This window comes from Homo sapiens, chromosome 1, assembly GCF_000001405.40.
Source record: "Homo sapiens chromosome 1, GRCh38.p14 Primary Assembly".
In the NCBI taxonomy this organism is placed as follows: Eukaryota; Metazoa; Chordata; class Mammalia; order Primates; family Hominidae; genus Homo; species Homo sapiens.
Window position 1 is genome coordinate 34026986 of NC_000001.11, and position 13092 is coordinate 34040077.

At 42.7% G+C, this 13092-nt stretch overlaps 1 protein-coding gene across 12 annotated transcripts in view, besides 1 other annotated feature; it reads right to left on the reverse strand.

Moving 5' to 3' along the window:
* The window catches only part of CSMD2 (CUB and Sushi multiple domains 2), a 651845-nt gene that overhangs the window by 512988 nt on the left and 125765 nt on the right, over positions 1-13092 (reverse strand). For all 12 annotated transcript variants that reach the window (XM_047443685.1, XM_047443656.1, NM_052896.5 and 9 more), the window contains exon 3: positions 5609-5721. In XM_047443685.1, coding sequence (XP_047299641.1) covers positions 5609-5721 — 113 coding nt within the window. The remainder of the gene's footprint in view (positions 1-5608; positions 5722-13092) is intronic.
* Positions 11211-12205: an enhancer, noted in NCBI's record as "H3K4me1 hESC enhancer chr1:34503797-34504791 (GRCh37/hg19 assembly coordinates)". NCBI's record gives its function as "activates a minimal SCP1, AML or CMV promoter by ChIP-STARR-seq in primed H9 embryonic stem cells {active_cell/tissue: H9 hESC(primed)}" and the evidence as "EXISTENCE:reporter gene assay evidence [ECO:0000049][PMID:30033119]".

Below are 13092 nucleotides of genomic sequence, written 5' to 3' on the forward strand. Positions count from 1 at the left end.
CCTTTAAATGAACATTTATCTAATCTTCACACAGAAGAAGCCTCTCCAAGCATGGCACCAAAAATAGATAGCATAAAGGAAAAATTAAAAAATTAAAATGTAAAATGAGTGGCATAAAAATGAAAACTGCTGTACCTCTAAAGGAAACCCATTACATTAATATCCTTAATATGCAAAAAGCACTTACAAAGAAGATAAGAAAAATTCTAACACCCCCATGGAAGAGTAGGCAGAGACCAAGAGAGAGGATTTATACAATTATCAGTACATGGCCAGTAAGTGATGACAGGTGCTTCACCTTACCTACAATCAAAGAGATGCCAATTATCGCAACAAATGGGATGTCATTTTCCACCCATTTTAATCCATGAAACTGACTTGTAACACTGGCAAGGTGGGAGGAATGGGCTCAGGCCTGCTTGTGTACTGTTGGTAGAAGTGTGCGTTCGTATAACCTTTCTGAAGACACGATGGAATTATGTATAAAATGGAAAATCTACATACTCTTTGACCCAGCAATTGCACTTCCAAGAATTTATTCTAAGAAGATAATTAGATGAGGGCTTAAATTGTATGTACAAGGATGTTCTTCACCTAAATGTCCACAGAAGATGACTGGTTAGATAACTATGGTATATGCAAACCACAATGGCTTCCTCAGTGATGTTCATTAGAAAGACAAATCAGGGCTACTTTTATTAACACAGAAAAACGTTGGCTTCATTAACCAGATTACAGAATTGCACAGATAGCATAATCCCAAGTGCACACGGATCCACACCTGTGTGCATATGTGTGTGAGCAGATAGATGTCTAAATGTATATTCATTGGAATGGCAGAACTGAGGCTAGACCTGGGCAGACAGCCCTACATGGGCAGACAGCCCTACATGGGCAGAGCAGGACATGGGCAGACATGGGAGTCAGGAGGAGGAGGAGGAGGTAAGTGGGGCGAGGGCTCCTGGGGCCTATTTTCAGACTCTTTGCTGAAAATGGGATTGTCAGTTCTAGCAACTGAAAATGCAGGATGCTCAGTTATATTTAAATTTCAGGCCCAGTGTGGTGGCTCATGCTTGTAATCCTAGCACTTTGGGAGGTCGAGGCAGGCAGATCGCTCCAGCTCTGGAATTCGAGACCAGCCTGGGAAACATGGTGAAACCCTATCTTTACCAAAAATACAAAGAAATTAGCCGGCTGTGGTGGCGCGTGTCTGCGGTCCCAGCTACTTCAGGGGCTGAGGCAGGAGGCTGAACCCAGGAGGTCGAGGCTGCAGTGAGCTGAGATCGTGCCACTGGACTGAAGCCTGGAGGAAAAAGTGAGGCCCTATCTCAAAAAACTAAATAAATAAAATAAAATAAGTATATTTGGGGTATACTTACACTAAACATTATTCCCACTTCAAAAATTTGAATAATTTAAAATTCAGATTAACTGAGTGCCCTGTATTTTATCTGGTGACCCTAGCTGAGAAGCTCAGGAACACATCTCTTGTTGCCTCCATGGATGACCCACACCAGCCTGGAAGTTCCCACATCCTCCCCTGCCTCTGGCTTATCTCCAGTTTACCTGCCTGTGAAATGGAGTCACTAGCCTCTGCCTTACTCAAAGAGTTTTGCAGAAAAGCCACGTTAAAATTCCTGGCCATCAGGCCCTAAGCTGCACACAAAACTTCCCTGAGGCTCAGCATGTACTTCTGTAAGATGGATAGCAATGTCTGTCCACAGGGTTGTGGTGGGGGATTAAATGAGATAATGTATGTAAAGTGCCTGGCATACAGTCGGTGCTTAATACAGGTTGATCCCCTTCCCTCCCGTCCAGCTGCTGCGGCCCACGCTCTTGCCCCCGGGGATTACAAACCAAGCACCTTCTGTCATCTCAGGGTTTGACTACCGGCCTTTTTGATCTTTTCCTTGCGGCGGCAGCAGCCGTGGGCTGACACTCATCACCTGACTTCACCTTTCTCCAAAATCCCTAGCAGCAGTTCAGTTCCTTATCTATACTTTTCACATTCTGGATGAGGGTGGAGGAGGATCAAACTCGCTTTGATAGCAGACATTTGGGGATGTCAGCCAAGAGGAGCTACCAAGAGCAGGGCCCTGATGCCATTTTGAAACGGACACAACAACATCATGAATAGCGAATATAAGGAAACCATCCTGACTGGGGGCAGCCTAGGCTGGAAGTGGGGGCCTCTTCTTTGAAGCCTGTCTGTCATTCTCCCTGCTTGCCACCCAGCACAAATGTCCAAGGGGACTCTGCAATGGAGGAAGGGGGCTGAGCTCCTTCCCTGAGAGCCAAATCTTCATAAATTCCTTTTGACTAGTGAATCTCCCCTCCTCCACCCCACAATGAGGCTCAGAGAGCTTAAAAATCTGCCCAAGGTCACCCAGTGAGTCAGGTACAGGTTCAACCCGATTCAGTTGCCTGTTGAATAAGCTCAACGATAGACATCCCAGGGCATATATCAGGTAGGTATGCTCACAGCTGTGGCTGACCCTACTCATGCCTCCCACCTTCCATCCTTGTCCATCCACTGTGGGTGTTCCAAAAGTAAGTGCAACTCACATTTGTCCAGATGCATGAATTGCCACATAGCCCAGTCCCAAATCAAATTAATGAGCTTCAGTGATAGCCACAGCCTTGGCTTATGGGTGTCTGACTCCTTTGTTAGCACAGACACCTGTGACCCACTTTACCATGCAGTACAAAACAGCCAGCCACACATCCTGCGTAGTTTGCAGAAACCCTGCAACAGGTGACTGCATAGAGACTCGCTCGGCTACAGCAATCTGTTAGCATTGGTCTAGCCTTTGCAGGGGCCTTGCCTACAAGGCTTTATTTCCTTAGTGCCAATGACTTAGACACCTGACATCATTATGTGGCTGAGGTGAAATAGGCTGTTCCTTCTGCCCTGTGAGTCTTGCTGTGGAATGTTGAGCATTCTCATGCCTGGACTGCCTCACCTGTGCCAGGCAGGTGGGAGGAGGGATCCACTGGCCTCTAATTTATCCCTAATGTTTTGCAATCTCTTTTGAATCACCGGCCTCTTTGTGAATCCGATGAAAGCTCCAGCTCAGCTCTGTCCAGTAAAATTTTCTGCAATGATGGAAATATTCTGTATCTGGGCTGTTCTACATGGCAGACAAGCCACATGTGGTTGCTGAACATTTGACACAAGGCTAGTGTGACTAAGAAACTGAATTTTAAATTCTATTCAATTTTAGTTAATTTAAATGTAAATAGCCATATGTGGCTGATGGCTACTGTATTGGACAATACAGCTGCAGACCAGGGGTAAGTAAATTTTTTCTGTAAAGGGTCAAAAAGTAAGTATCTCATTGGCTTTGCATAGGGTCTCTGTCACAATAGCTCAACTCTGCAGTTGTAGTGCATGAAGACAGCCACCAAACACATGTCAACGAATGGGCATGGCTGTGTTCCAATAAAACTTTATTTACAAAAACAACCTTCTGGCTAGATTTGGCCAGGGGGATCTGAGTTCTCTAATGCCTGCTGTATATTCTCCCTAGAAAAAGATATACCCACCCTCAGAATTTTTGTCTCTAATGTCATGGAGTTTACAGACCTCCTGTTGCCCAACTACAGACCCTGCTCATGATTTCCAGGTGACAGTGTCTGTTTTCACGGGACTCTGAATGTGCCCTCAGATCTGCTCTGCTTAATGAGAAGTGCTTGTGCCCCTAACAGGGCAGTGTGGGCAGGGACACCTTTTTCCTCAAGCCTCAGGGAAGCCAGGGCCTCAAAGATCGACCAGGACTGAGAAATGAGGGCACCATGAGAGCCTAGGGCCCGGCCAGTTCCCCCATGTGTCAGTCACTCCCAGCATCTTTGCTGGCACCTCTTCTAGTGTCCCTGACCCAGTCTCCCTTTTCCTGGCCCCGGGTCCCAAGTGCAGTCAATGTCCCCAAGGCCAACCTATTGTGGAAGGAGCTAATGGCCAGACAGACTTTAGGAAGCTTCTGAAGAGGCTTCTCCTAGTGAGGAGCTTGTTGCTCAAACTTGGAGAGAATTACTTTGGATTCAGGGCCAGGTTGAAGGAATAAATAGGATGACAAAAATCACAGGCTTGATATTGGTAGGAACTTTTTTTTTTTTTTTTGAGACAGAGTCTCATTCTGTCACCCAGGCTGGAGTGCAGTGCCATCTCCCAGGTTCAAGCAGTTTTTGTGCCTCAGCCTCCCAAGTAGCTGGGATTACAGGTGTGTAACACCATGCCCGGCTAATTTTTGTATTTTCAGTAGAGACGGGATTTTGTCCTGTTGCCCAGGATGGTCTCAAACTCCTGGCCTCAAGTGATTCACTCGCCTCGTCCTCCCAAAGTGCTGGGATTACAAGTGTTAGCCACCACACCCGGCTGAGATCTGATCATTTTTTAAAAAGAAATTAGGCTATTTCAGGAATCCTCACTTTAAGGACAGGTCAGTCTTTGTCAGGAGCCCTCAGTTAAGGTAAAATAGAGTTATGTCAGAAGCCCTCAGCAAAAGACAGGTGGAACTTTCTCAGGAGCCTTCTCAGCAACCTTTAGTTAAAAATAACTGAAGCCTTCCCAGGAGCCCCCAGTTGCTCAGGTTAAAGCATCAAACCATCTCCCCTATACCCCCTGCCACCAGGGGTGGTTTTTTGCTAAGGAGGCAGAACTTGTCCTCTTTATGCATTACACCCCTGGCCAAGACAGGGAGTGTCTGTTTCTGTATTGCTATAGCTTCTTCATTGAAGAAAGCATCGCTTACTCTTTAAGTTCTTAAACAAAGGCAAAGGCAAAAAAAAAAAAAAAAAAAAAAAGCTTTTGGATATCTGGCGTGCTTTACTAGGGTATTATGTCATTACTGTTATTAATTATCATTAACAGTCTTAAAATATGCCTATTAATGATCTTAACACAAAATAACAGTGCAGGTCTTAGCCAAGAGTGGCATAATTACCTATTAATGAGATGTAAATTTCCCAGGGAAATGACAGAGATCTAGAAGTACCACCTTCTGAACATAATAAAGTTAATAATAATAATAGTGTATAATCTGAAGATATTAGTGTTAATTTGAATTCTAACACCATATTTAAACAGACTGAGAGAAGTACAAATTATTTGCATAGCACAAACCAAAAGCCCCTAATCCATGCTATTAAGGAAAAATCGATTGTTCTTCTCTGAATGATATAAAACTGACTCTTGGCAGTCATTGTATGGTGTTTTCAGTTGCTTATTTTATTTCTTTTACTTAGGGTTTATATGTCTTTTATTTTCAAAAACAACCTGAGGTACCTTATACAATGAAGCCCAATATAAAACAGAATTAAAAAAATAAAAACACAACAAAACCCAGTTAAAGGGGACAGAGAAGTAGATGTTACCAGGCCCTCAGGATAAACTACTGCACATGAGCTTTGATTTCAATTCTCAGTTTCCTGGGAACCAAGAGGGACAATTTAAGTAACTGAGTTACTGGTTAGTAACCAGCCTTGTCAGGACAGGCGCAAGCTCTGGGTCTGAAGAACACTTCCCTGCATCTGTGAGCAATGCAGTCCTGCTTGTGGCTATTAGGACATCACATCTCCGGCTCCTGTGGCCGATGAGGGAGGCACTTACCTTCATAGGTGGCGTGGAAGCCTTGGGCACTGACTGCATAGTCGCTGATGAGGCGCAGAGAGAGGGTGGTGGCTGCACTAACAATGGTGGCTGGCAGCTGAAAGCCTGTGAGCCTGAAAGACAAAGAATTGGATTAGGGAGAATGACCCCCTTGGGAAACTACACATCCACGAAGCATTTATTGAGTGCCTGCTGGATACACAGTGCTGATCTAGGCACACAGAGGGTGTTCAAAGACAAAGTGATTCTCAGCAGAGGTGATGAAAACCAGCAGGCTTCTGCCCCAGAAACATGAGGAAGTGACTCCGCCAAAGCCATGGTCTAATCCCCAACCTGGAGGCTTGCCTGCTTCCTTTGTGTTTCCTCTTTTCTCCTTTTCTGATTTCTTTTCCTGTCTCCTCTCTTTCTGGCTGAGGTCCTGTGAGGCTCTGGGTATAATTCCCCATGAGTTTACAACTAACAATTGCCAGTAGACAATATTTATTCACATAGTAAGGGAAATAGAGCCAACTCTAAGTAGAAGAATGAGCATGCTTCTTATCATAGACTTTATTCTTTCAAAGGAATGTCTACTGCTTTTATAGAAATAAGTGCCTATTAGTTTTTAAAGAAAGCAAAAAATAAAAAACCAACACAATCTAGAAATAATTATTCCTGACAGTTGACATACAAAGAGATGGTGGGATCAATAGATGGAATCATATTCAATGAAATAATTTCATACAAATGGGATCAAACTGTGCGTGCTATTAAAATTAAAATGTTTAAATTTTCTTTCTGGAATTTAACTGAATAAAAGGAAACAGGTGTGAAGCTAAAGGAATTGTTGAACCTGAAATAATATGCTTTTAGCACAAGATAATCATTTTTAAAGATTCCTCTAAGGGAAAAAGATACCACTGAACACTTGGGAATACATTTAGGAAAGACCTTGTCCACTGCTGGGCATCCATGCCTGGTGACCCTCACAGGGACCTGATTGTGCACACAGGTCATAGTGAGGTGGCCAGTCTCCTACACACCTTTGTCCTTAACCCCCTCTAAGCCTCAGCCTGCCTTACCACACCCAGGTAGGAATCTAGGAGGAATTTCAAGGTTTAACTTTGTCCCCATTTTTAGGTAATTTGAAATATCCGTGGTTCTCCTGGGTGCCGCTGTATACCTCCCACTGCTATACAATATCTTGATGCCCAGGATATCCACTGAAGGGCATGAGTATCGGGCTCAGATGAGTTAAACCAGATATTTGTTAACAGACACTGTGAAAACCCTTATGCTAGATGAAGCCCTTGCCCTTCCCACCATCCTAACCTTGTGGGATTCATGTTAACTCAGAATAGACTCAAGAAAAAGCAAAGAAAAAATTATCAAATTATGCAGCAGGCAACCAAATAAGTTTCAAGGGCATCTTCTCTTCAAATATAAACACATCCAGCAAAAGATCCCTACCTCACCCCATATTCATATACTCTCTCTCATCAAAAATGTATACATAAAATAATGAAATCATACATATTATAAGGAAACAAACTTTGTTTAATCATCTTATGCTGGGGAAAGGCCTCCTAAGCAAGACACGCAGAGGACTCTCTTTGCACCTATTTGCCCTGTCAGTCTTCCATGGGAGCTGTCCATGGCATGGAGTTCTGATGGTACTCCACCTACCCACTAGCCACAGAGCTAGGTAAATGATCAATCGCGACATACTAGCCCTCATTTTTATGGACGGATTCAGGGTATGGGGAAGAGGGAAGAGACCATACCACCCAAGCAGAGTCATTCCGAGTCCTTCTATGGGATATAATATACAGACTCTGAAAGCCTTTTATTTTTGGACCTTAAACTACTACAATATAAGCTTGAGACTCCCAGCAGCCTTTTTATCATCACACAGAGACTATCTGCTTTAGAGAAAATGATATCGCCAGATAGATATAAATAAAAGCTGAGCAGTGGCAAGAGAAGAGAAACAGAACCCTGATGATGTATTTTTCAGATCCTTAATCCATGCAGCGAGATTTATCTCTTCAATGCCCAGTTACATAAGCTAACATTCTTTCTTTACTTTCTTTTTTTCTTAAACTAGCTTGACTTGGTTTTCTATCTCTTGAAATTGAGTGCTAATGGATACAACATAAAACCCCAGAGGCCTTAAAGGAAAATATTGATTAATAACTACATGAAAATTAAAAGCATGTATGTGTGACAAAAAACTGTAAAAGATAATGAGAAAAGTGCAACCTGAAAGGTTACGAATATGTGACAGGAGGAGGATTCGTATTTATAACCTAGAAAAAGTTCTTACAAATCAGTAAGAAAACGGTAAACAGGAGGAAAAGAGCAAAAGATACAATACAAATTAATGATCCACCTAATTAATATAAAAATGTGAAAACTGAAACCCCAAGACTCATTTTTCACCTATCTAGAGTTGGCAAGGGCTAAGGAAAACAGATCCTGCACTTAACAACATGATAATAAGGAAATACTACAAATTACACACATGCATTTCACACATTAAATGAAATGGGCACAAACTTGAAAAGCACAAACTACCGTAAGTTTCCCAATATGAAACAGATCACTTGAATAGCCCTATAACTATTAAGGAGATTGAATTAGTAATTTTAAAACTCCCAAAAAAGAAATATCTAGGCCTAGATGATTTCACTAGAGAATTCTACCAAACATATAAAGAAGAATTAACACCAATTCTACTCTAATCTCTTCCAGAAAAGAAGAACAAACATTTCCAAACTCATATTATGAGGCCAGTATTACTCTGGTACCAAGCCAAAGACAATACAAATAAAGAAAAATGAAGATCAATATTTCACATGCATACAAACACAAAAACCTTAACAAAATATTGGCAAGGAGAATTCAGCAATATATAAAAATATTTTTACACCATAACCAAGTGGGGTTGTGTCTAAAGATGCAAGGCTGGTTCAACATTTGAAAAATCAATCAGTGTAATCTACCATATTAACAGGTTAAAGGTAGAAAAATCACATGACCACATCAACTAATGCAGAAAAAGTATTTGACACATTTCAACACCCGTTTGTAGTTAAACGAAAAAAAAAAATTCAGAAACCTACAAATAGAGGGTAAGTTTCTGAAGTTGATAAAGAACATCTACAAAAAAAAAAAAACAGTAGCTGACATCACACTTCATGGTGAAAGACTGAATGCTTTTCCCTTAAGATTGAGAAAAAGGCAAGGATTCAACAACTCAGTTAGAAAATCCGCAAAAGACATGCAAGAGACATTTCACCAAATAAGACATATGCATGGCAAATAAGCACATGAAAAGATGTTTAACATCACTAGCCTTTAAGGAAATACAAATTAAGAACATGAAGAAATATTACTACATACCCATTGGAACAGCTAAAATAAAACACTATAGTCACGATACCCAATGCTGGTGATGATACAGGAAAACTGGATTCCTCATACAATGCTGGTAGAAATGCAAAAACATGCAGCCACTCTGGTAAATAGTTTGGCAGTTTCTTTAAGAAAAAAAAAACCACATAACTATACAACTCAGCAATTTACTCCAGAGAAGTGGAAACTTATATCCATTAGGCCCAAAAACCTATGCATAATTGTTCATAGCAGCTTTATTCCTAATAGCCCAAACTGGAAACAACCAAAATGTCCTACAATAATAGGTGAATGACTAAACAAACTGGAGTACATCCATACCACAGAATACTACTCAGCAATAAAAAGGAATGGACTATGAATACATGTAGCAATTTGGGTGGACCTCAAGGTCATTAAGCCAAGTAGGGAAAAAAAGCTAATCTCAAAAGATCACATGCCATGTGATTCAATTTATATAACATTCTAGAGATGATAAAATTAAAGAGATGGAAAACAGATTAGTGCTTGCTAGAGATTAGGAATCGTAAGAGGAAGGGAAATGGATATGACCACAAAGAGGTAGTATGAGGAGATCTTTGGGTGATGGAATCATTCTGTGTCTTGATTGCAGTGATGGTTATGGGAATCTGCATGTGATAAAATGACACAGAAGTATACACACACATTGCACCAGTGGCAGTGTGCTGGTTTTGAGAGTGTGCTATAGTTACATAAGATGTAACTATTGGAGGAAACTGGGAGAAGGGTACATGGAACCTCTCCTGTGAATCTATTATTATTTCAAAATAAAAAGTTTCATGAATACAAATCTACCATATTGACTTCTGATTAGCTCCAGTCTTGAGAATGCCTCCTGATTCCTATTTTATTTACTGTTCCTAGCATAAGAATATGTCAATCTTGATGTTTATCATACAAGTTACAGGCTATGACACATACAGTACCCTTGCCTGTTCTAGAGGCTGCTTTTCATTGTCTGGCTGGACACATACACCCTTTCCCTATGGTACATATGCCCTGGGTCTGGGGAGTAACATTGCAGAGATCTACCTGCCTTGTGGCTACCCAAGACCATGCTTCTGTCTGTGAATTTCCCCAGTAAAACACCCTCTACCAATAAAAAATTAAATTTAATAAGTTTTAAAAAATTATATCTATGGCTCATATTATATTGCTATTGGACAGTACGCCAGTCCTCCATTAGATCAGACTTACACTCAGTCTCCCTGGATTGGGCTTTGAGCTTTGTCTTTTCCAGGCCCCTCACTCCAGCCGCCTCCTATCCACTCCAGCCTGTATTGCACCCTCCCCGCCCCCACCGGCGGCACTGACTGCAGCCTTGCTGACTACCAGTACCAGAACTCAGGCCACAGGGCCCCCGTTAGCCTATTCCTTGGCTTCCTGTTGACTTGCCCATGCACCAGTTGCCCTTTCCCTCCCCCGAAATATTCGTATCTTCAGTGACAGACTGACATCATCCCATTGTACCCTATGGATTAAAATAGTAAATTGTCCCCAGCAAGGCCAGACCTATATCTGGTTCCCCAGACCCCATCCTAGCAAGCGCTGGTTGTCTCCATCTCCAGGTGGGCCCAATTCACAGCAGCTGCAACTTGTCTCTCACCCATGTCTACCAGAATTATGCCCTTGGGTGCCCTTCCCAGACACTCAGCCTAGGGACCATCCTTTCCTTCAACTACATAGAGCCTCATGGAGGAAGCTCAAACCTCACCAGGCCTTCTCCTATGAAGTCCTCTCTGAGAATGGCATTCCTCTCACTAAGCAGAAATTGTTGATTTTATTCCCCAACTTAGTTCCAGTATATTTTTGCACTGCCATTAAAGATTCCTAGACCCTAGTTTCTCGGTACTATATTGATGCGAGCTGTGAATAGCTAATGTACACTGTCAACAAACAATTACAGTTTTATCACTTACAATATATGGAATTGCAGCTTGCTAGGCATTTTCTCTAATCAGATATTTACCACTGCTCTGCTCTTTCCCAGGGTTGGTAGATAAATTCCAGCAGGGAGGATTCCTCAAAGGCGCTAGCTAAGGCTGGGGGAGGGGATGGGAAATTGAATCTCCCCAGCTGGATACCTGAATCATCGCTCCCCCACCCACTTATCTTTGAGATCGATTTTAGACACGCTGAAGACCCCGCAGTTAGGAGGAGCTATGGTGTTGCATGACAGAATGAGCAAATAAAACTTTCAGACTTTCCCATCTTTTATCTGACAAGATTAAATACCATATTGAAAGGAGTGAGGTATCCTTCAATAGTGAAATCCAGACTTAGCAGAGAAATGCAGTAAAATGATGGCAAGGCAGGTGAGAGTCCCCTGTTGCTATGAGTTATCCTCCTTGCAGACTCTAAAATGCACAGAGAACAGCATTTTGCAAACAGGTGGCATAGCCAAACGTGTAAAACAATACTCATCTTCTGCTTTACATCAGCCTTATTGTCTTCTCATTTTCTCCACTGTCTTTTCTTTGTTTTTGCCTTCCTGCCAAAAGTAACCCAGAGTCTTGAAAATGGGACGGCCAGGACACCATATACTCCTCATTTCTCAGCTCAGAATCTACCCACAGCCTCCCACTGTTCTTAGGATTAAAGCCAGAATCCCTAACGAGGTTCACAAATCCTGCATGGCTTGGCCCTGACAGATTCTCTGCTCTGTCTCCTGCCTGGCTCCAGCCCCCCAGTCTTCTTTGGTCAAGGCCATCCCAAGGGCAAAGGAAGTGGTCAGCCCAAAGTGCAGGCAATAAGGGCATTAATTTCCTGTAGGGAATTTGAAATCAATAATAAAATGGACTTTAAAAGTTCACTTCTTATCACCATGCATCCATGTTCTAAATAATGTCAGTGATTAAATACTCTTCCCCCGCTTTTCTCCCACTCCCTTCCTTCGTACACCTGTGGTTTCAGTTCCTTCAATTTGCCATGCCCCATCTTCAGGGTCTTTGCACGCACTGTCTCCCATTTAGAACACTTTCTAACCCTTGGGATTTGTCTAATTAACTCTTTCTCATCATTCAAATCTTATCACGAGTGTCTCAACGTTACTTCTAGAAAGGTGCATTCCTGACATCCCAGACCAGCCTATTCTGCATGCTCAGAGGTCCCAGTGAAGTCACTGGTATGGTTCACCTTGCATTTCCAGCTTTCCTTCTAGACACAGAGTGGAACAGCACCTCCCACCCCTGTGGAGGTCAGGCCTGGCCATGACACCAGCTTGGCCAGGGAGATTTGGGTAGCAGTGAAGGTCACTGTTGCCAGGAGGGAGGCTTGAACAGCCTGTGTACCTTTTGCTGAATTCCCTTCCCCTTATCCAAGGTCAGTGATCCTTGGCCTCCGCAGCCACGGTCTCTGAGCAACTCCCCTAAGCAAAGAGCCCCTGCAAACCTCTTTTGAATCTGCAGCATGAGCAAGAAATAAACTTTTGGTGAGTTAAGCCATTTCAATTTGAGGGTTGTTTGCTACCACCATGTTTTCACTTGTAGGTTTTGTTACTACCATTCAGGTATGGTGAGGCCAACAGATCAGAAGACACTGCCGCTGAAAAGATAACACAGTTTCCTAGAGGAAGGGGCATACTATGCCATGCAGGGCCACAAGCATGTCAGAAGCTCCAGCGTCAGTGACAAGGCAGAAGGAGCCTGGGTAAATGTGGGCAAGAGCCTTTATTGTGGTTTTCCCAAGAAGGAATGGGCAAGATCAGGTAAGCAGCTGAGCAGGTTTAGGATTGCCTAGTTTGAATAATTTCAGAGGGCACCAGGGTATGTGGACCACCCTTAGCTGTCTGATGTATGGCCCTGGGTAATTAGGGCAGGGGGATAGTAGATAAACAATGAGATCTCAATAAAAGAGGTAGAGGCCAGGCATAGTGGCTCACACCTGTAATCCCAGCACTTTGGGAGGCCAAGGTGGGAGGATCACTTGAGCTCAGGAGTTCAAGACCAGCCTGAGCAACATGGTGAAATCCCATCTCTATAAAAATGTTTTCAAAAATTTGTCTGAGTGTGGTGGTTACTCAGCTAAACTTGTGGTCCCAGCTACTCAGGGGGCTTAAGTGGTCCCAG